Source organism: Homo sapiens, chromosome 5 (genome assembly GCF_000001405.40).
Source record: "Homo sapiens chromosome 5, GRCh38.p14 Primary Assembly".
In the NCBI taxonomy this organism is placed as follows: domain Eukaryota; kingdom Metazoa; phylum Chordata; class Mammalia; order Primates; family Hominidae; genus Homo; species Homo sapiens.
In genome coordinates, this window is record NC_000005.10 from 21,026,879 (window position 1) to 21,052,178 (window position 25,300).

A 25,300-nucleotide genomic window follows, 5' to 3' on the forward strand; every position below is an offset into this window, starting at 1 on the left:
AAATAGACATTATAGCTTTAAGGTGTCTAAGGACAATAGCTACATATGGCCCATACTTATTTGAGTGAAAATAATTGCAGTTAATAGTTTGAAAATGACAAAATATTTTCAATGAAGCTCTTTGCTATTTAAAGATAAATAGTTTTTATTATTCTGAAAATCTTTGTGTAATCCTAATTTGTTCATAGGATGATGCTTCCTTTGTTTTTCCTTGTAGAGTGAGGATAATTAGAAAATTGCATAGTTCAACTTCGATCTTCCTTTTCCCCAAAGAGGTGTGCTACATGCTATCCACTGAGAATGCATTAGAAGAAAACTTTCAATGTATTTTTTTTCAGATTGTTTCAGTTTTTGTTTTGTTTTTCTGTTAATTTTTTTGGGGGGGATCAGGCTTTCTTTCTTCAGGGAAATTGACTTTCAATTGTAGGCATTCATTACAAAAAAGGGTCCTACACAAGCAGGGCACTTAAATTCTCTTAGGCACTCAGCCAAACTTGTCACCTGTTGTTATTGTTGTTTTATATAAGGCAAAGGAGTTGTTATAAAGATAATTTCTATTTCTGAAGTTTTAATTATAACTGAAATGTTGGTAAAAAGACTTGAAGGAAGGATTTCCTCCTCTGTATCCAAAGAAAACAAAGAATTACACAGTCTATAAACATATGAGAGTAGAAAAATTGTACAATACTGATTATAATTTTTTGACTTTAATCTCATTTAGATTCAGTGCAGAATTTCAAGAGCATCAAGAAAATACACAATTTATATATACACAAACACACACACACATATATATATATAAAATATAACATTCACTTGCTATGAAAAACCATTTTGGTCACTATTTCATTTCTAAACTCAATGTGTATATGCAACATTAAATGTTCTTAAATGTAAGAAGGAATCAGTTTTCAAAAATATAAATGAGTGCTTACTTTCCTTGGAATTAATGATAACATATCAAATGGGAAAAATGCAATTTTCTTTGTGGAATCTTTTATAAGTCTCAATGCTGTGTGTGCTCTAAAAAGTTTATGTTAGAAAAAAAGTTAAAGATTTTTTCATAGCTTTCATAAAAATTGCTTTATAATAGTGTGACCACAGGAGATATAAATACCATAAAGTGAGGCAAACAGTATATTTTATAAATAGAACCAGCAGCATCATACATTTATGGGATATTGTAAATCATCTGAATTTTAGTTCTCAGAAACAATGATCACTTCCATTTCAAACTCTGTATTACTCAGTAAAGTAGTTCTGTTGTATTTTAAAATATACTCCTACCCTCACACTGATCAGCTTCATTCACTATTTTCCAGGACAGAGCTAATGCTTCCATCTACAGAAAAATTCATGGTCAAAATATTTTCATGCATGTGACATGAAAGTCATAATATTTTAATGATTGACATTATTCTGATTGATTATTTTCTAGTTAACATTTAAAACTTAAAAATGATGCTCAGAGTAAAAATTTCTTTATTAATATTCTGTAGTTTAAAATGCTTACAACTGTGTTAAAACATATACTCATTCTTTTGTAGCACTACAATTATACAATTACAAATAGTTGTTTGGCAATACTATTAAATTACAATTACTAGGGTTATAAAATTCAGAGTAACCCTTGGATGACCAAAAGCTTATGACAAATGAATTGGCTGTGTGCACCTAAAGTCTTTTGGCATATAATGGTGTGCAGTAATACAATGTCAAGCTCTGTCACCAATGCTGAATGAGAGAAGTGGTGTCGCCATTATTAGTCCCGGAAGAAACTGTCATTATGCCTCAAATTTGAAGCCTACATAGATAATTTTATTCAAAATATAGAAATAAATTAGGATAGGTTTATATTTTGATTTGGAAGCCACAAAAGAAAATGGATAATGCTTTAAACATTGTAAAATGTTTTTGAAATTTGTCTAATATTATTAAAGAATATATAACATTATCTCCAATGAAATAACCAGATTTTTTCTGTTTATTGATTTAATAAAACAACATTTATGCAAATGCATTCTATTACTACTAGCTTTGACTATTTCTCATAGGTGTTTTAATTATTCTAATATTTTAAGTGCTTTTCTCATTCTAAGTTTAATATTCCCATTGGCCCAAATTGTTTCACGTTTTATATAATATATTTTGTTTTTAGGAATATGGTCATAATGAACTTAAGTTTTATTGAACTTTGGCCAGAAGATACAGCATGGACAAACTTGTTTTGTTTTTGGAAAAGTGTTTAAGTATTGAGTTGCAATTTTGAATTGCATATTTTATAGATTCATTAAAATTATTTGCTCTGCCTTTATAAGATACATTAGCCACATACAATAGTAATTTATTTTCTGGATTCTTAAAACAGCTCCACCATTAATTAGCTGTGTAATATTGAACAAATCACATTAATTTTTGAAATTTATTTCTCTCATGTATGTAATGGAGATAATTTTAGTACCTACATAACGGTATTCTTCTGAGGATAAAATGAATTGTGTTTATCATCAATGAAGTATTTATCAAAATGTAAAAGTACTTGCTATTTTATTTCTATCAAATTGTCTTCATAAACTTACTCCTTCTATATGTGTTTAAAGCTTTTGGAGTTACTAAGTGCTAAGAGTGATGCACCAAACTATTTCTCTGCTTTGCTTTTTCACTACTGCTACTCATACTACAACTGATAGCATCATTACCATTTCCTTTATTTTTAATGATTTAAGGGAAGTGTCCTATGTAATGTTGAATCTACAAATACATATACATACTGGCATACATACACACACATAAACACATCTGTATTGATAGTTTCTTGATTTCTTATACACAGATAAGAAAAGTTAATTTGTATTTTCAGTAATGGTGGGTGCTATGATCTGAATGTATCCTCTCAGAATTCACATCTGGAAACTTAATCACCAATGTGATAGCATGGGGGTGGGATCCTTGGGGAAATTAGATCATAAGAGCGGAGGCTTTAAAGATGGGATTAGTGTTCTTATGAAAGAGGCCACAGAGAGCTACCTTGTCCTTTGCACTATGTGAGGACACGACTAAAAAGCGCAATGTCTTAACTGAAACACGGGCTCTCAGCAGACATTGAATCTGTCAGCACCTTGATCTCAACCTTCCAGCCTCCATAACTGTGAGGAATAAATTTCTGTTTTCTGTAAGCTGCCCAGTTTATAATGTTGTGTTGCAGTGGCCCAAACACACTAAGAGCAGGTTAAGTTATTCGTACAATCACCATGCTTAATAGAATAAATACTACTTTTTGAAATATATGGTATTTGAAAGAAGGTAAAGACTTACCAGGCCAAAATTGAAGGAAAATTGAAACATAAAGGAGTAAACACATACTTGAAAGCCACATTTAACTAAGAGCTATTTGCCAATCTGGAAAAGCCAAAATTCTGTTTTGAGAGACCTGTGGGATAAAAAGAGACAAAAATGAAAACTGGGTGTCTAAATAAGTTGTATGTTTTTAATTGAAAACCTCTTCCCAAAGAAACTAACCACCAGAAGTCTTGGAAGTATAATAGCACATTACACAAAAGAAAAATTAAAAGGATTTATATAGGCAATAGAAAAAAGAATTGAGGGGTATTTTCTCTGACACAAACAAAAATGAAGAAGATAGAAAGGACCAAATATTTGGAAATTCTAAATTACAGTGACGATGAAAAACAGTAATAAAGTATCTGTTGGGTTTTAAAATGACAGAACTTAAATCTATGGCATCGTATTTATATAAATAAATATAAAAGTTTGACTCATACAGCAGAGTCTGTAGTTGTAAAACCCCAGCTTATGCAGGAAAGTAAAGATACCAATTAGTTTTCAATTTGGTGGCTTAATGATGCATGCCCTAGGAAAACGGAAATAATATGTGTGGTAAGTACAAAACTGAAGAAGAGGAAACTCCAAAAATTAAAAAAAATAGTTAATTTAAAAGAAAGCAGAAAAAATAAAAATATCAGGCAAGGCAAAGCAAAAAAAGTCAGTAGTTTGAAAATTACAAAATATCATTAAATGTGTTCACAGAAATATATTGAAATATACAGGTTTTTAAAAATGAGTATCAGACAGAATTTTAAAAATCGAACAGACTTCTGGCCTCCAGCTCTGATATTTTAAAAGCTTTGAAGCCATCACTCTGATGAAAATCGGGCTGAACAAACTTAAAAGAAAGCTGAACAATGAAAATCAGCAACTTTTCTAGGATCCGTCAGAAAATTGAGGTCACCAGGAAAGCAGTCACCATGATATCTAAAAACAAGTAAATCCGGGCATCTCTGCCAAGGAAAGCTTACTTGGAGCAAAAGAACAAGAGCTATAAACTTATAGAAACACTTAAATGGTTACTTTGAGCAGTTGCTGGAAGCTGAGGGTAGACTAGCTGAGAGTGAGTAACTTCCAGGGGTCTGAATCTTAGGGAGTGCCTCATATTTTTATGGGTCTTATCTCAGGCACTCCACCAGAATCTGCAAGTAAAGAGCTGATAAAGATGTGTTCTTTATTCCAGCATGGGCAGGAGAAATATAAGAAGTAAAATCATTCAAAATATATTCTCATACTGTAATAGAATTCACGGAAATCAATAACAGGAAGATAGTTGAAAATACTCAAATATTTGGAGACTAAACAATAAATATACTTCCAAATAACATCTGTGTCAAAGAAAAAACATGAAGAGAAACTAAAAAAATAAAATTGAACTAAATAGAATTGAAAACACTATTTATCTAAAAGTGTGGAATGGGATGAAAACAGTACCTAGAGGGAAATATATAGTATCCCATGTGTCTGTTAGAAAAAATATCTAAAATTTAATAATCTAGGCTTCCACATTAGGAAATGAGAGAAAGAAGTTCAATTAAAACCAAAAGCAAGAAAGAGAAAAGCAACACAATTAGAGCAGAACCAAAAAGCAACACGATTAGAGCAGAACCAATGAAATTGAAAATAGAAAAACAATAGAGAAAATTAATAAAACCAGAAACTTGTCCTTTAATAAAATGAATACAATTGATAAACCTCCACACAAATTAATGAACATGAAAAGAGAAAAGATGTGCAATACAATATCAAAAAAGAAAGCAAGATCAGTACTACCAGTTTCATGAATATTAATAACAATCTTTGAACATTGAAGGGATAAGAATATTGTGAATAACTTTATATCAACAAGTTGATGACTTAGAAGAAATAGAAAAATCACGTGAAAGACACAAATTTCCATTGATCACATGGGGAGAAATAGATAAACTGAACAGGCCTATATCTATTAAAGACACTGAATAATGTTTAACAACTTTTCTCAAAAGATAACCAGTCCTAGATAATTTCGAATGTGAATTCTATTGAACATTTAAGGTAGTATTGGTACCAGTTCCCTCATTCTCTAATAGAAAATAGGGAGCACTCCCAAAATTACTTTTATAACCTTCATAGCAAAAACAGAGATATTTTACAAAAAGATAATTACGAGCAAATATCTCTTATAAAGATATATGTAAAATTCTCAACATAACACAAGAAAATCAAATTCAACAACATATAAAAATTAACACAACAAAGTCACATTTACTCTAGCTATGCAGTGCCAGTTTAATTTAAAAATCAAACAATGTAACCTACCACAATAGACAAAAGAAGAAAAATTATACTGTTACCAGAAAATCAGGTGTTCAGTCTAGGTCCTGCTGCTGGCCACAAAGAAAGCCAATCACTGAGACAACAATTATTGCCAAGAAGGCTATAATTGGGTGTTGCAGCCAAGGAAATGGGAGATCAGTCTCAAATCTATAACCTTGATGGACTAAAATTGGGGGTTTATGTTGCAGGGAAGAAATGTAACAATGTGTAGGGAAACAGGAACTCAGAAGGCTTCAGGAAGCAATCATGATGAATGAGACTCAGCATCCCGTTGTCTGGTGGTGGTGATTTGGTGAGTTTCAATTCATTGATCCATTTTTGTGTGAGGCCTGGATGTCCTTTTCTGAGGAAGGGAATCAGATAAAACAGATGCTAAGTTTCCAGCTTTAAGACTAGAAGTGTCCATTTCTATATTCACCAGAAAACTATCTGTGGGACTAAAGTTGAAATATTTAGGTATAAAGTTGAATAAAGGATTTATAAATATATATAGTTTCTATTCAGAAAGCAGAAAAGCTATGATGAGAGAAATCAAAGATTGTAATAAATGGAGAGATATTGTGTGTTCATGGGATGAAAGATCCAATTCTGTTGAGATGTCAGTTCTTTCCAACTTGACCTGGTAAAATCAACTCAAACAAGCTATTTTGTAGACATCAAAAAACTGAGTGTAGAGTTTATATGAAAAAGCAAAATATGTGTTTAAAAAGCCAAAACGATACTAAAGAAGAACAAAGTTTTAGGCCTTACAGTACCCATTTTGAAGGCTTACACTAATGCTACAGCATTCAAGTCAGCATGGTATTGGAGAAAGAACAGACACATAGATCAATAGGCAGATTAAAGAGTCCAAGATATATACATACTAATCTTTAACAAATGAGTAAAGGCAAATCAATTGAGAAAGAACGCTCTTTCAACAAATGTTACTGGATCAATTTAAATCCATATGCTTGACAATGAGTCTAATAAGATATCCTAACACCTTTCACAAAAATTAACTAAAAAAAAAAATCAGCTAAGCACAAGTGGCGCATGCCTGTAATCTCAGTACTTTGGAGAGTGATGTAAGAGGATTGCTTGAGGCTAGGAGTTTGAGATCAGCCTGGGCAACATAGTGAGACTCTGTATCTACAAAAAATAAAAAAAATAAACAATGGGGCATGATAATCTATGTCTGTGGTCCTAGCCACTCAGGATGCTGAGAATGGAGGATGATTTGAGTACAGCAGTTTGACTCTCTAGCGAGCTATGATCGTACCACTGCACTCAGGCCTGGGAAATAGAGTGAGACCCTGTCACAAAAAAGATAAAAAGGAAGAAAAGAAAAAGAAGTCATAGACTTAAAAAATTGCAAAACATCTATAAGAATGTATAAGACAAAAATCTAGATGACTTCAGGTTTGGCAATGAGTTTTTAGCTACAACACCAAAAATGTGTTCATAAAAGAAAGTAAAATGTTAAATATGGCTTTAATAAAATTAAAAACTATAACTCTTGAAAACACACTGGTAAAAAATTAAAAGACACACCACAGTCAGGGAGAAAATATTTACAAAACATGTACCTGTTAAAGGACTTGTATACAAAATATAAAAAGAATTCTTAAAATGAAGTAAGAAGAAAATAGCAAATAACTAAAAATGGAAATATATCTAAACCAACCCCTTACCAAAGTAGATACACAAATAGCAAATTACTATAGGAAAGATGCTATCATTTATCATCATATAATTGAAAGTTTAAACAACAATGCAAAATACAATACACATATTAGAATATTTAAAATAAAAAACAAACAAATATAAAACAGGAAAAGGACAATACCAGAAACTGAAGATGCCAAGAAATAGGAACTCTTCATTCATAGCTTGTGGAGATGCAAAATAGTACCACCAGTTTGAAAGACCATTCTTACAAATTAAATATAGTCTTAGCATACAATCCATCAATTTCTTTTCTTTTATTTATCCAACTAATATGAAAACGTATATCCAAACAAAAAATTGCACATAAATATATTTAATAGTTTTATTCATAATTGCCCCAAACTTGAAGTAACCAAAATGTTCAATACGTGAATGGATACTCACACTATAGTACACAAAACAAACAATGCAATATTAAGCCTAAGAGACATGGATGAGCCTTAAATGCACATTACTAGGTTAATAAAGCCATCCCAAAAGGGTTACATACTGTATGATTCCAATTACATCATATTCTGAAAAAGGCAAAATGTTGAGTGGTTGCCAAGACTTTGGAGAAGGGTAGGTATAATTCAGTAGGTAAAGCATAGGGAGTTTTTATGGCAATGAAACTACTTATAGGATTCTGTAATTGTCTGAAAATAATGCTGTGTTTTAAAAAATCCACTGAACTTTACAGAACAAAGAGTGAAAGAATGTATTAAAAATATCACTTATAAAGGTCAAGATATTTCAGTATGGTATGCAGAAAATAACAATCTTGGTTGTAAATGTAGGAAACAAGTCAATGAAGGATACATATTGAAGTCATAAATATTTAAAGGTTTCACTTATCTCCCAATTTGATGTTAAGATATAATGCAATGTCAATCAAGTTACTAAGATAATTTTTTAAGTGGAACTTGAAAACTTCTACCTAAAATATATATAGAAATTTAAATTGTTGAGACTATTAGAGACACTCTTGAAAAAGATCAAGCTAGCAGGTATGGCTCAGATTTCAAAATGACCTAAAGTTGCAGCAAATAGAATGTATTTCCTGCTTAATTAAAATGAAAATACAGTTTATCAACTACGTTAGATGCAACTAAACAATACTTAGAAGAAAACTTGTAGCACTACATGTCCATAATAATACAGAGAAAAAATTAAAGTCATAAATTCAGCTTCAACCCTTAGAGACAAGGAAGTGGGGAAGATACTGACCTAAAAATAAGAAAAAGAAAAAAAAAAGAAATAATGAATCAGAAAGTAATAAAAATTAAAAAGAAAATAATAAAACAAAAAGCTCACCTTTAAAGTAAGTTAATAAAATGGATAAACCTCTGTGAAGATTAATTAGAAAAAAGAAAGTGATAATTTAACAGAGAAGTTACAATATGACTAATTCTACAAATATTAAAAGAATAATAAAATATTATGAATGATTTATGTCACTAAATTCAATAACTTAGATAAAAGGAACAAATTTCTTATAAGACACAAACTGGAAAACTCCTTCCATAAGAAATACATAACCTGGCCGGGTGCGGTGGCTCACGCCTGTAATCCCAGCACTTTGGGAGGCAGGCCAAGGCAGGTAGATCACGAGGTCAGGGTTTCGAGACCAGCCTGACCAATATGGTGAAACCCAGTCTCTACTAAAAATACAAAATTAGCTGGGCATGGTGATGGGTGCCTGTAATCCCAGCTACTCAGGAGGCTGAGGAAGGAGAATTGCTTGAACCCGAGAGGCAAAGGTTGCAGTGAGCTGAGATAGTGCCACTGCACTCCAGCCTGGGCAACAGAGCAAGACTCTGTCTCAAAAAAAAAAAAAAAAAAGAAAGAAAGAAATACATAACCTGAATAGCCCTATACATGCTTTTTTAAAAAATGATTTTGTACTTACAAAAATTCCCACAAGTAAAACTGCAGCCACAGGTAGATTCACTCGCATAATCTACCAAATATTAAAGAAAACAAATATTTTATTTTCTACATTAACTTTTTCCAAAAAGGGTCAGAATAGTGAAGGCATGGTTTGATCACCATTTCATAGTATAGTTCTCTCAAAAGAGATTAATAGCCTTTATTAGAAAAAACTACTAATTTGCTACTAGTTTGGAGACAATTTTGACACATAGGTCTTATGTGACCAACCAATAACTCAATGATTATCATCCAGCTGAGAGCAGTACTCACGAGATTAGAAAAGAATTAGGACTATTGCACTATACTCACATTTGTATTTCTATAACGGAAGACATGCCAAGTATTTGACAAACTATAGAAGAAAACTGGTATGGTTTGGCTGTGTCCCCACCCAAATCGCATCTTAAATTGTAGTTCCCATAATCCCCATGTGTTGTGGGAGGGGACCCAGTGGGAGGTAATTGAATCATGGGGCTGTTACTTCTGTGCTGTTCTTGTGATAGTGAATGAGATCTCACGAGATCTGATGGTTTTATAAGGGGCTTTTCTCCCTTTTGCTTGGCACTTCTCCTTGCTGCCCTCTTCTGTCATGATTCCTCAAGTTTCCTGAGGTTTCCCCAGCCATGTTGAACTGTGAGTCAATTGAACCTCTTTCCTTTATAAATTAAACAGTCTCGGATATGTGTTTATTAACTGTGAGAATGAACTAATACAAAAACTCAACTCTAGTCAAGAGGTTGAAAATGGTAATAGTGCCAGAGGTGTAAAACATCTGACTTTATAAATAAATAAACTTGATTTTAAAAAAATTTCCACTGGGAGAAGGCAGAGCCTGGAAATATGGATTAATTGAATGAAGCCTTTAGTTATTTGTTCCCTGAATGTGGGCATCAGAGCAATAAGGATAGACCCTCATTCTGAATTCGGGAAATGCATGGAGAGACATACAGTAGGTATTTATTCTTCTTTACAAGCCGTGAAGGAACGCTGATGCTGCTCCTTTTTAAAGAATTATAAAATTCTTTAAAAAGTGACCTCATCCAGCCACTTCTGAAAAACTAGACGCTAGTCCTGACATGGCTAGCCTTGCATGAAATAGACTCCTTATGTAAAAGAAATCAAGATTTGGTGCAAAAAACTCATACAATATCTAATCAAGAGGAGAGAATTAAGGATCAATGACTCAATTTAGGCCTGAAGGTAATGGAACTGAAAACAATTAGAGAAGAGAGTTACCCAATAAATCAAAAGATGCCCAAGAAGAGTCTCCAGTTGAATAATTAAATACATTTTATTGTCCTTACCTAATGAAGGAACTTTCCAGCAGTGTCCAATATTTAATCTCTGGCAAAGGTATGATGGGAAAAAAAGTACCTAACCAGAACTAGCTTAAAATGAGTGTATCTACCACATAAATTTAAGGAATTTCATTCTTCTTAGAACCTAGATTTATTTGGGCAGGAGATTTTTCCAGGTATAAGTAAACAGAACAAAAGTCAAACAAGAAATTGAATTCTTAAGTGAATGTGGGGTGGAATACAGAAGAGAAGAGAAAGAACCCAAGAGCATGGCAGACATTACACAGTATGTTATGTGGCTCCACAAATTTGTAGTAGTTTATTAAAGTTAATGATGTTTGCCTTTATAAGGTTTTATTAGTTTTTTAAATTTTTAAATGCAGAAAATTGGTAAAAGAGATGGAGGGAAGAAAGTTTGCTTAGATTTGCAAAGTATAAAGAGGAACTCATCTGGGATCAGATGTTACGCAAAACACCCAGAAGATAACATTTCCCTCACAAGTTATCTTTGGTATTGAGGCATAACAAATAAACCTCATGAACAACGGAAAATTCAAATAATAATTGTTGAAAATTTAGCACATCCTTATTAGTTTTTCATTTATTTTTCTAAATTCAATTAATAATTCAATTATTAATAGTAAAACATAAATTTTCATTTATTTTTCTAAATTTAATGAATAATACATATGTGTGTTATTCAAACTTTTGAAAGAAAATATTAAAACATATCATTAATTCAAATTGCCATTGATTATTCATAAAAACAGCTTACTTTTATTTCAAAAAATTACTTTTACTAGCATAGTTTAATACATACTGCAATAAAGTGTTTTAAGGAAAACATATTGCCCACATTTGTGTAAATGCATAATTATATCACAGTTGAAACAGTCAATGTAAAGAAGATACATATTGATCTGTTAGGCTGAAAATTAACACAACAGTATGTTAACATACAATTGTTTATACTATTGTATAGTATTCTGATAATGATACAGTATTGATACATGGTACATGATATAACAGCATTCTGATATTTAAGTTTTTTAATGATTAAATGATTTAAAAAACTAAAATATCAGAATTTTATTAGGGGTAACAAGAAAATGAATAAGAAATTTAGAGAAGAGGAAGAGAAACAAAGAATATAAACATTACGAGTCACATTGCTTGTCATATGTTGGAGTTTTGTATCATTTAAAATGCATTTAAATAAAGAATGGTCTTCCAGTCGTCTATTTATTCAAATAGTTGTGGGACTTGAAAGTTATCCTTTCACAAGACTCAGAATGAGCTACAATTGCAGCATCTCAGAAAATGAAATTGCTTTAGGATTCAACTGAAGACTGACATCAAATATAATTGGGTCCTTTAATCTCTAACTTAAGAAAGTCGTCAAATATTTGCTGTGCCTTGACAGAAGTTGACTTATTTTTATGTATTTTTTCACTGAAGAGTGACTTCACATAAAATAGTACTTCTTAAATTTGTAAATACCTAGAAAAGAACATGTAACTTATAATTAAATGAACTGTTCATAACTATCATCAATTTTTGCTATGTTAGGAATGATTTTGTAAATAAATAGTGATAATTATGTTAGTTTTATACTGATTTTAACCCAGAAAAATTAGCCTTTTCCTCAATGATAAGAGAGATATCGCTTTTCTTGGAGCTCCTGAAAGTTAGCATAAGAGAAAATGCAGACAGCTAGATATGAGAAAGAAAAATCAGAAATAACCAAGGAAACTTAGTACAGCATGGCTTAGTATTGAAAGATTTTTGCTTCCTGTTCTTTGAACCATTCCAATTATCTTTAAGTCTTTACTGAAGTATGTCAATTGTGTAAGCCTTAGCTTAGGGATGATTTGTGGACTTAAGGGAAAGCAGCAAGGGTCATATTCTTGTCTGAACTAAATGGGGAAAACACAGGAACTTCAGGATACAAAATAAGGGGCACACATCAAACAGAGAAAGTGGAAATTCAAAGCATGAGATGACCCAGCCCACAGGAAACCTCAGACACATGAGAAATGATCCACGGCTTCCTACAGTACCTGGGACAGGTGATGACTCCAGTTTGACAATCAAAGGTAATCAGAACATTATGCTAAGTGAAATAAAAAGACACAAGAGAATGAACATGGTATGATTTTATTTATAAGCACCTAAAATAGACAATATAATAGAGACAAAAAGCAAAACAGAGGCTACCAATGCCTGTGGGGAGGGAGAGAGTTAGAAAAAGAGGGGCTATTGATTGATAAGTTTCTGTTTGGAATGATGGGAAAGTTCTGGAAATACACAGCATGATGGTTACACAAAGTTGCAAATATTTTTAATGCCACTGCATTTTAAATTTAAAAATAAATAGAATAGTATATATTATGTTATTTATATTTTACTACAATTAAAAAGAAGGCTCCACATCAAACAACCAATATACAGGAAATACAAGGCACAGAGAAATATACTAAATGACACTTCAAGAATATCATAATTAAAATACAGTCTTTGGGGAACTAGAGAAAGAATGACTTATTTTCTTCAGCAAAAGATGACAGAGAAAACAAAAAGACAGATGGGTGAAAGGCTATAGAAATCTATAGATAAGTGAGAGCCAATCACAATTTAAGAATCTTATTTGAATCCCAATTCAAACAAATTGGAAAATAAATTATAAGCCAATTAAGGAAATGTCAACACTGATATATGATGATATTAAGGTATTATTGTTAATATTTTAGGTGTGATTATGGTATTATAGTGATTTTTTAATAAAAGTCGTGATCTTTTACAGAGACTCACTGAAATATTTATAATGAATTAATGTGATAACTGAGATTTGTTTCAAAATAGTCTGGGGATAGGTAGGTGGAGTACAGGTGATACATACTGGATATCCCCTGATAATTGTTGCGACTGGGTGATAGGTATACTGAGTTATTATATATGCCATCTAGTATTACATGCATTTGAAATTTTATAAATATTTAAACAGCAAAACATTTAAAAATGAAAATAAAATTAATTAGAAGAGATTGGTGGCATTGCTGATCTTCAGTAAGCAAAAATTTGCGTTAGAAAAGTAGCTTTTAATGTAACCAGTGAGAGGTGTGTTGAAGTACAATAAATCACAGAAATTACAAATCAATATTAGATCACAGACAAAAATATAAAGTCACCCTAAATGAAATTGATTTATCATACTTCTAATTTATAATGTAATATTTTTCTGAGATATTTCTGTTATTTCAAGTTTTTTTGTGATTATAAGTAAAGCCACCAAAACCATTTACTTATAGATTTTTTGTGAAGATAAGCATTCGGTTCTCCTGGGTAAACACTTTGGAATGTAATTGTAGGAGCATCATCTGGTAAGTGTGTACCCTTTTAAGAACTAGTCAAAATGTTCTCCAAAAGGGCTTTACCATTTTACATTTCACGCAGCAAGGTATGAGAGTTCAGTCACTCTCTTTTCTTGCCAACACTTGATATCATTATTTGTTTATTTTTATTAATTTATTGTTGTTCTAATAAAAAGAGAGTAGTATCTCATTGTAAATTGAATTTATATTTTCCAAATGACAAATAATGTTGAGCATATTTCTATGTGTTTATTTGCATCCATATACATTCTTTTGTGAAGCATTGGTTAAAAGTTTTGCTCATTTTTTATGGGATGTTTATATAATCTTTATTGAGTTTTAAATGTTTAAATTTTTGAACTATATCTAAAAATATATTTCATCAGATAATCGGACATGGGTTTCTCAAATATTTTCTCCCAGTCTGTGGTTTATTTTTCTGTTCACTGAATGGGCAAAAGCTGGAAGCATCCCCCTTGAAAACTGGCGCAAATCAAGGATGTCCTCTTTCACCACTCCTACTCAACATAATATTGGTTGTCCTGGACAGAAAATCAATCAAGAGAAAGAAATAAAAGTTATCTAAATAGGAAAAAAGGAAGCAGAACTATCCCCGTTTGCAGATGACATGATTCAATATCTAGAAAACCCCATAATGTTGGCCCGAAAGCTCCTTCAGCTGATAAACATTTTCAGCAAGGTTTCAGTATATAAAATCAACATACAAAAATCACTATTATTTTATACACCAACAACAGCCAAGGGGAGAGCCAAATCAGGAAAGCAATCCCATTCGCAGTTACCACCAAATGAATAAAATACCTAGGAATACAGCTAACCAGGGAGGTGAAAGATCTCTACAATGAGAATTAAAAAACATTGCTCTAAGAAATCAGAGACGATACAAACAAATAGGTTGCTTTAAAAGAGTAGAATATTGTCATATTGATGAAACTTATATAATGGCTTTTTCTTTAATGAACAGTGATTTTTGTGTCAATTCTAAAAAATTTGTATCTAATCCAAGTTCACAGTCATTTCTCTTATGTTTTCTTCTAAAACTTTATAGCTGATTTAGGTCTGTTGTTCATTTTGAGTAATATAATTTTTAGGTATTGGGTTAGATTTTCTTTATATCTATAATTTAAATTGTTCTAGAAAAATTTGTTGAAACTACTGTACTTTCCCTATTAAACTTTCTGTTTACCTTTGTACCAGTTTAATTATTCATTTATTTATAATAGAAAAGGATTCTATTCTGTTCTATTGATCTGTGATTCTATCATTTGGACGAATCTACATAATCTTATTACAGCTCTAAGTTGAGGCTTTAATCCATGCAATGTGAACTCTCCAGTTACACTCTTTTTCAACTTATTTTATTGTTTAAATTATTTGTTCTCCTTTATACATTTTTGGATCTGCCTGCCTGTTTCTAAAAAATATTCTGCCAAGGATTTCATTGAAATGTTATGGAATCTATAGGGCGATTTGGAGAGATTTGACATCTCAGCAAGATTGGGTCTTATATCTTTGTATCTATTGCAAAAAATACAGTTTTCAAATCTTTCAATTTCCAATTTTTCATATATAGTATACAATAGGGGGTTGGACAATTTTTCCTGGAAAGTAACATATAATAAATATTTTGGACGTTGCAGGCCATGTTGTCTCTGTTGCAATTAGTCAATTGTGCCATTGTAGCAAGAAAGCACCCATAAACAATATATGAATATATGAGAATAGATGCGTTCCTCTGAAACTTCATTTATGAAGAAAAAAAATTGGTTTTCATGCAATTTTCAGGTGTCAAAATATAATTCTTCTTTTGGTTTTGTTTTTAACTATTTTTTGAAATGAAAACCACTCAGCTTTCAGGCCATACAAAAAGAGGTAATAGGCCAACGTACCTTTTGTATATTCATCATGTGTCTGACAACCTTGTGAAATTTACTTAGTTCTGGCAGTTGTTTTTGTAGATTCTTTTAGAGTCTACATAAAAAATCACGCAATTTTCAAATTGAATTTTGTCCTTTCTTCCTAGTGTGTCCAATGAGTATGCCTTTGATTTAACATTCTTCATTTTATTGGCTAGGATCTACAATATAATATTAATTCAGTGTGATATTGAATCGACATCACTAATGTTTTTCATACTATGGGAAAACCATTAAGTCTAAAATCATTAAGTAAAATGCTAACTACATTTTTAAAAATATCTCATGCTTTTGTTTTTATTCACTTATAAATATAATATAATTTCCATTATGACTTCTTTGACCTCTTATGTTATTTGTGATGTGTGGGTTTTTTCATTAAATTTAGATATGTGGATATTTCCCAAGTAGCATTTTGTTTTTTATTTTTAGTTTACTTTTCATTATAGGCAGAGAATATTTTTATATAATTTCAGTGATTTTATGTGAAATTAGGCTTATCATAAATATATAACAATAATAATGATCTATCATGATGGGTGTTCCAGTGTGTATTAAAAAAAAATGTGTGTTCTGCTTTTTGTTGGGCAGAACACGCTATAAGTGTAACTTAGTTCTCTTTGTAGAGTTTAGATCTTATATATCCTCAATGAGATTCTGTTTACTTATTTGATTTATTACTGACAGAGGTATATTGAAGGCTTCAACCATAATAGTGTTAGTCTGTCAAATTTCATGCATTTTGAAGCTCTGTGAGATTCAGAGCTAATAATAGAAATATTGTGTTTTCTTCTTGACTTGATCCTTTTATTATTATGTAATGACTTTTATTCTTATTAATATATTATAATCTAAAAACTACTTTAGATAATAATATAGTCACCCCAGTTTTCTATATGTTTGTTAATTATTTGTTTGGTATATATTTCTGTCTGCTTGATATTAATTTATCTGCATCTTTATATGTAAGTGAATTTAATATTCACAGAAGAAAACTAGTTAAGTGTTGCTTTGTTATCTAATCTGACAAACTTTTCAAAGTGGGGGTGTCTATATCACTTATAGTTAATTTAATTATTGGTACTGAAATGAGAAAAGTTTCCTTGTACCCCTTGCGGAGCCTGCAACACAGAGAGTGGTTCTTCAGTGCCTCCCTGCTCAAATCTCTAGGGGAGCATACAGATGGACAGGTTGTGGGGCTCCTACCCCATGGCAGTGTCTAAGGCTGAATGTTTACAGCTTCTGAAGCCACAGTGGGCGTGTGCTACCCTGTGCTCTTTTAGTTTTGCTGTCCATAGGCGGCTTGTGTTAACCAGCTCAATTAGACCCTCTGCTTTGTCTCAAAGACAGAGGGCTTTCTGGATCCCGGGTTCTTGCTTTGGTGTACCAGAAGAATTTGATCACACGTGGGCTTGGAGAATGAGTTGCAAGGTTTTATTGAGTGTGGGTAGCTCTCAGCAGATGGGGGAAGCCAGAAAGTGATGGAGTGGGCAGGTTTTTCCCTGGAGTCAGGCGCTGAGCAGGCCGGGTTCTCCTCTTGACTGCCCCAGCCAAATTCCACGTGGTTCTGCCAGGCAGTGGCCTGCATGCTGGTGCTTGTCAGTGCATTCCTCCAGATGTCAAGCCACTTGTGTCCAGAGTCTTCCACTAATGTTCTTCTCTCAGATATCCAACTGCCTATGTGTCTGCCTGCTAGGGTCTCAGGGATTTTACAGGCACAGGATGGGGGCGTGGCAGGCTAGGGTGGTCGTGGGAAATGCAACATTTGGGCAGAAAAACAAAAATGCCTCTTCTCACCTAGGTCCATGGATGTGTCCGGAACTGGTTCCTTTCGGTGGGTTCTTGGTCTTGCTGACTTCAAGAATGAAGCCGTGGACCTTCACAGTGAGTGTTACAGCTCTTAAAGATGGTGTGTCCGTAGTTTGTTCCCTCAGATGTGTCCAGAGTTTCTTCCTCCTGCTGGGTTCATGGTCTTGCTGACTTCAGGAGTGAAGCTGCAGACCCTCGCAGTGAGTGTTACAGCTCTTAAAAGTAGTGTGGACCCAAAGAGTGAGCAGCGGCAAGATTTATTGTGAAGAGCGAAAAAACAAAGCTTCCACATCGTAGAACGGGAGCTGAGCAGGTTGCTGCTGCTGGCTCAGGTGGACTGCTTTTATTCCCTTATTTGACCCCGCCCACATACTGCTGATTGGTCCATTTTATAGAGTGCTGATTGGTCCATTTTATAGAGTGCTGATTGGTCCGTTTTTACAGAGTGCTGATTGGTGTGTTTACAAACCTTTAGCTGGACACAAAAGTTCTCCAAGTCCCCACTTGACCCAGGAAGTCCAGCTGGCTTCACCTCTTATGGGCACAGGCCTGGTGGTGGAGCCCTAGCCAGGGACCATGCCTTTTTCCCCTTCCTTATCATTTAAAGGGACCACGCCCTTTGCTTCTCAGCACTTCCCTTCCATATCAGTATCATTGAATTTAAATCTATTATTTTGCTAATTGGTGAACCTATTTTCCTACTTGCTATTTTCCTACTTGGTGAACCTCCCCTTTTTTTGTTCCTCTTTTTATGCTAGTTTCTAAATTTTTTTAAAAATAACACTACTCATATTCCTTTTTATTTATTTATTTATTTTTGGAGACGGAGTCTCACTTTGTCACCCGGGCTGGGGTGCAGTGGCGTGATCTTGGCTCACTGAAAGCTTTGCCTCCCAGATTCAAGCAATTCTCCTGCCTCAGTCTCCCTAGTAGCTGGGAATACAGGTGCCCACCACAACGCTCAATTAATTTTTTTGTATTTTTAGTAGATATGGGGCTTCGCCATCTTGGCCAGGCTGGTTTCGAACTCCCGACCTCGTGATTCACCTGCCGTGGCCTCCCAAACTGCTGGAATTACAGGCATGAGACTCTAAGCCTGGCAATTTTTTAATAATTGCCTTAGGGTGTAAATTGTACCACTTTAATTCATTACAATCAAATTTTAAATAATATTATACTGCTTTGCATACTTTGTAAAAATATTTCTTCAATATACTTCTAAATTCTGTTTTAATATCTTTGTTATAGTCAGCATACATTTTACTTTTACATATTCTCTTAAACGACCATGGATTGCTGTATTTTTTTAAACTGGATGGTTATTATTTACAGAGCAATTAAAAATTTAAATTATACATATTTAATTTTTACCTCATTTATCGTTTCTGGAACTCTCCATATTTTTGTGTGTAGATCCAAGTGTCTGTCTGCTGTTGTGTATCAAACTTTCTGTAACTTTTTTATAGATAACTTGTGCTATAATAAATTATCTCAGATTTGTTTTGTGTTAAGAAGCCTTTATCTTGACTTCCATTTTGAAAAACATTTTGGGCAAGGACTTCATGTCTAAAACACCAAAAGCAATGGCAACAAAAGCCAAAATTGACAAATGGGATCTAATTAAACTAAAGAGCTTCTGCATGGCAAAGGAAACTACCATCAGAGTGAACAGGCAACCTACAGAATGGGAGAAAATTTTTGCAATCTACTCATCTGACAAAGGGCTAATATCCAGAATCTACAATGAACTCAAACACATTTACAAGAAAAAAGCAAACAACCCCATCAACAAGTGGGCGAAGGATATGAACAGACACTTCTCAAAAGAAGACATTTATGCAGCCAAAAGACACATGAAAAAATGCTCATCATCACTGGCCATCAGAGAAATGCAAATCAAAACCACAATAAGATACCATCTCACACAAGGTAGAATGGCAAACATTAAAAAGTCAGGAAACAACAGGTGCTGGAGAGGATGTGGAGAAATAGCAACACTTTTACACTGTTGGTGGGACTGTAAACTAGTTCAACCATTGTGGAAGTCAGTGTGGTGATTCCTCAGGGATCTAGAACTAGAAATACCATTTAACCCAGCCATCCCATTACTGGGTATATACCCAAAGGATTATAAATCATGGTGCTATAAAGACACATGCACAAGTATGTTTATTGTGGCACTATTCACAATAGCAAGGACTTGGAACCAACCCAAATGTCCAACAATGATAGACTGGATTAAGAAAATGTGGCACATAATACACCATGGAATACTATGCAGCCATAAAAAAGGATGAGTTAATGTCCTTTGTAGGGACATGGATGAAGCTGGAAACCATCATTCTCAGCAAACTATTGCAAGGACAAAAAGCCAAACACCGCATGTTCTCACTCATAGGTGGGAATTGAACAATGAGAACACATGGACACAGGAAGGGGAACATCACACACCGGGACCTGTTGTGGGGTGGGGGAAGCGGGGAGGGATAGCATTAGGAGATATGCCTAATGTAAATGAGGAGTTAATGGGTGCAGCACACCAACATGGCACATGTATACATATGTAACAAACCTGCACATTGTGCACATGTACCCTAAAACTTAAAGTATAATTAAAAAAAAAAAAAGAAAAGAAGTATTTATCTTGACTTCGATTTTGAAAAACATTTTTTCGGGGGTATACAATTCTAACATTACTTATTATGTTCTTTTAGCATTTTAGAGATGACACTCACTTGTCTTCTGGCTTTACTAATTTTCTATGAGCAGTCTACTAAAATTTTTTCTTATGTTCCTCTTTTAGTAATGCATATTTTTTCTCTGGCTGCTTTTCAGATTTTTTTTTCAACTGTAATTTTAAGCAGTTTGAATAAGATATGTCTAGGTTTTGTGCTTTAAAAAATGTTTGGAGTTATTAGTTTTTTAATTGTCTATTTTAAAAATGTTAGTTGTGCATAAGAGCACCACATGTAAAGACATCTATAGCTTGTAACATATGTGGTACTACCAACATAAAAATAGCCCCAAAAAGATGAAAGAAAGAAACTGTTACCAGAACCCAGAATAATGAGTGTTGTGTAGAGCAAGCCAGAATGGGTTAACCAGAGACTATAGAGCACAGAAAATGTTAATATAGTTCATATATGTCAGTGTCTGGGAAAGAGAGCAAGGTAAGAAATATTTGGAGGCTGTGTCTGGATGTGTAAAGAAATGTGGTGCTGCACAGTCAAATTAAATGAACAGTTTGACTTCCAAATCAATAAGACGTGACTGTGACCTAACTGAACACACTGAAGATCCTAGGGTGTGTATTCCTAAGTCAGAAGACATAGAAAAAAGTTGAAATACATAAGTAAGTCTCATATGTATTTGGAAGGTTCAGGAGGTCATCATTAGATATTGTGTAGTTGTTTTATTTAAAATGTTAGAAACCAAAAAATAATACCTAGCTACATCTACTTGGGAAAGTTCTAGGCAAAAAAATAAATAAATTAAAAAAATTGAACTCTGAAGCCCAAATTGTTTATTTTCAAGATTGATAAATAATTAAAAATAATTTTCTAAAGAGAATCTTGGTGCTATTTCATATTCCATAGTGGCACGTTGGAACTAGACAGTTGAATGTCCAATACTTGCATTTATTATGATTCTCTCCAATATCCAGTCTTCTTGAAATCTGTTTTTTAAAAATACAAAATGCACCAGCTTTATAATAATAATGCTTTACTATGCTATATATATAATATGCTACAGTAATGTAATAATGATGTCTATAACAACAGCAAAAGTATCAAGAGCTAGTATTTTTATTGCATTTTATGTGCCTTGCATGTGTTTCCTTATTTCATTATCACTATACTTCATTGAGATAAATATTATTAACCTATGTTTCACCTAGTCCTATTTGTTTGTTATCGAAGAAAGGAAGACTATCGCATGTGTAAACAGTGTAAAAGACTGCTTACCATTTCTCATTAGTGGAAGGAAACTTTGATTTAAATGCATGCGTATACATTGTAAGCACATAAGTGAACAGGTTTTTTCCAAGATATATACATTTTCAGTATTATTTCAGATTCTATTTCATTTCTCTACCAAAATTACTTGTGCTTTCCTCACATATATTGTTTTTGGAATACGTTTTTGATATATTTCTGCATTTTATAATCCTCTTAAGATCATTTAATTCCTTTCTTAAATAAACCCTTCCCACAGGTTATATGACTAAGGCCATTGACAAACAAATGAATAATCATTAAACCTTCTGCTGAAAAAAATAACTCAAAGACCTTGGTCCCCATGATCTGAGAAGAATCTCCTTCTGAGAGAAAAAGACAAGAATCTCCTCTGTGTACACAGAAATCAGATTTCTAAGTCCTCAGTGTTAAGGATCACATGGTACTAAACAGAAAATTCACCATGTTAAATGCTGCCTGTTAATGAACAAATATGTGGCCTTCCACCAGGATTTCCCTATGCAGATGTTTTTCCCTGTGAAATTAAAATAAATGCTGCTGTAGCTCAAGTTTCCCGAGGAGCTGGAAACCAGGTAGTAAGATTGCATGTGGCTTTTGGGGAAAGTGAGTTAGGATTGGGTAAAGAAAGAAGTTAGGCTTCAATGAAGTCGCCACAAAGACCTGAGCCAATCCTACTGAGAATTCCAAGGCCAATTACCTCTTGGAGATGTTACAAATCGAGGCAGAGGGACCATGCCTTTTATTTCAACCATGACCAGCCATTGGACATAGGCTACCTCTGAGGTAAGGAGCATGCTTTTTTCTTCACATTTCCCTTAGCTAAAACCAATTCCTGGAAAGTGACACTATCGTGAGCTGTCAGCAGGCAATACTCCCAGCAGCTGGGGCAATGAAGAGCTCAGTCCTGAAGAAAAATCTTCATGGTCCCCTGCATCCAACCCTGCATGAGTTTTTGATAAGATAGTAGAAGGTATTCCTAAAATAACTTTTCCTTTATCAGTATATATTGGTAATTTTCATGAGATATTGGATTGTGGCCAAAGATTAGAGTTTCCTATTAAAATAAGATTTTTTTGGCCAGGCACGGTGGCTCACGTCTGTAATTCTAGCACTTTAGGAGTCCAAGGCGAGCAGATCACCTGAGGTCAGGAGTTCGAGACCAGCCTGGCCAACATGGTGAAACCTCGTCTCTACTAAAAATACGAAAATCACCCAGGTGTGGTGGTGCATGACTGTAATCCCAGCTAATTGAGAGGCTGAGGCAGGAGAATCACTTGAACCCAGGAGGCGGAGGTTGCAGTGAGCCGATATCGTGCCACTGCACTCCAGCCTGGGTGACAGAGCAAGAGTCCATCTCAAAAAAAAAAAATAGACTTTTTGATGTGGATTTTTTAAGCTAGATATTAATTTGCACAGGAAATAGCAGGAAGTCTATTGTTTGCTATTTGTTTTTTCAAAAATAAGATATCACTTATGTAACATTTCAAGTATGTATGCAAAGGCAGCATTACTTTCAGCAGGAGAGGAGATAAGCACGTTGGAGTGTGTGCTGTGCTGAGAACATTGCCAGAGCACTCATCTTGTGAGCACAGCTGGTAGAACTCTGTTAAAATGTTGTATTTGTCCTCTATTTGAAAACACCAGTGGCACAAAACCGGCCATACACCTTAATTTGCCCTGTTTTTAATGCTACCATCAATAACTGCATGTCCTAATAAATGCTGACTGCATTATTTCAGGAAATATACTTAGCAGAATACATGCCTCAGTTCTCAGTTTTTCAAAAATTACTCAAACATTTGAAGTTTTAATATGAAATCATTTTCATTTGTTAAGGGATTTCGTTGCTTACATAACACCGAATCCCCCACTTTCATACTTAACCTAGTGGCTGCTGCTTTTACTTCCTGTATTTCCCAATTAAAATGAAAACTATTCTCTTTGTTTTTCTGGTTATCTATTAGTATGTTAAAAAAAATGCAATGCAAAACATACTTAAAATCACAACCATTTTAAAAAATATTCTACAGTTTTGTGGAACAGTAACTGTGACAGTTAATTTTATGTATCAACTTGACTGAGCTGCAGCATGATGAGATATTTGGTTAAGCATTTTTCTGGGTATGAGGGTATTTCTGAATGAGATTAACATTTGAATGGTAGACTGAGTCAAGTCATTGCCTTCCCTAATGTGAACGTGCCTCAATCATGGAAGGTCCATGGAAGGACTGAATAAAATAAAAGGCTGCCTAAGAAAGAATTATTTCCTTCTGCCTGATGGTCTTCACAGTAGGACATTAGTCTTCTCCTGCCTTTGAACGTAGACTAAGATCACAACTTACACCATTGGCTCTCCTGGCTCTCAGGCCTTCAAACTTAGATGGAAATTATTCCGTAGGCTCGTTTTGGTCTACAGCTTGCTAACTGTAGATCTTGGATTTCTCAGCCTCCATAATTGTATCAGCAAATTTATTTTATCTTTTTCTTTTTCTTTTTCTTTTTTTTTTGAGACAGAGTCTCACTCTGTTGCCCAGGCTGGAGTGCAGGGGCGTGATCTCTATTCACCACAACCTCGACCTCCTGGACTCAAGCAATTCTCCTGCCTCAGCCTCCTAGGTGGGTGTGACTACAAGCATGGCCACCCGGCTCAGCTAATTTTTGTATTTTTAGTAGAGACATTGTTTCACCATGTTGGCCAGGCTGGTCTCCGAACTCCTGACCTCAAGTGATCCTCCTGCCTCAGCCTCCCAAAGTGCTGGAATTACAGGCATGAGCCACTGTGCCCAGCCATATCAACCAATTTTTATGGTTAATCCCTTTTGCTGTCTCTCTCTCTCTCTGTCTCTGTGTGTGTGTGTGCGTGCGTGCCTGTGTGTAAACTGGTTTTGTTTCTCTGGAGAAACCAGATTAATACAATGATGTCTAACAAACAAACAAACAAAAAATCCGATTGTCAAATTGTACAATTCTGGCCGGGCGCGGTGGCTCACGCCTGTAATCCCAGCACTTTGGGAGGCCGAGGCGGGTGGATCACGAGGTCAGGAGACCGAGACCATCCTGGCTAACACGGTGAAACCCCGTCTCTACTAAAAATACAAAAAATTAGCCGGGCGTGGTAGCGGGCGCCTGTAGTCCCAGCTACTCGGGAGGCTGAGGCAGGAGAATGGCGTGAACCCGGGAGGCGGAGCTTGTAGTGAGCGGAGATCGCGCCACTGCACTCCAGCCTGGGCGACAGAGCGAGACTCCGTCTCAAAAAAAAAAAAAAAAAAAAAAAAAAAAAAAAAAAAAAAAAAAAAAAAAAAAAAAATTGTACAATTCTAGGTGTTAATTTAACTTGAGATTATTATGGTTATTAATAATTCAGGCAACGAAGACACTCAGACAAAGCAGAGACAAGTCTGGGACATCAAGAACTATTTCCCAGGTTGATATTCCCCAAACGGACATGTGCTCTTGTGTCAGAATAATAGATTTGGTTTCCAACTGCTTCACTGTGGATATCTACCAACAGAACAAGCATTTGAGTAATGACACATCTCCAGTTCATACTTGGTGAGATTATTTGTCTTACTTGACATTCTCTAGGGATCTGTCTCATAAACCCAAAGATCATTATTTGCTATAAA

At 34.1% G+C, this 25,300-nt stretch overlaps 1 long non-coding RNA gene across 3 annotated transcripts in view; it reads right to left on the reverse strand.

Moving 5' to 3' along the window:
- The window catches only part of LOC105374678 (uncharacterized), a 108,785-nt gene that overhangs the window by 18,953 nt on the left and 64,532 nt on the right, over positions 1–25,300 (reverse strand). For 2 of the 3 annotated variants that reach the window (XR_001742406.2, XR_925838.3), the window contains 2 exons: positions 5,679–6,004; positions 3,316–3,430 (listed from right to left, as the gene is read on the reverse strand). This is a non-coding gene — a long non-coding RNA (uncharacterized LOC105374678). Of the gene's footprint in view, positions 1–3,315; positions 3,431–4,989; positions 6,005–25,300 lie in introns of those variants that run through there. The other variant, XR_925839.3, reaches the window with a different exon arrangement.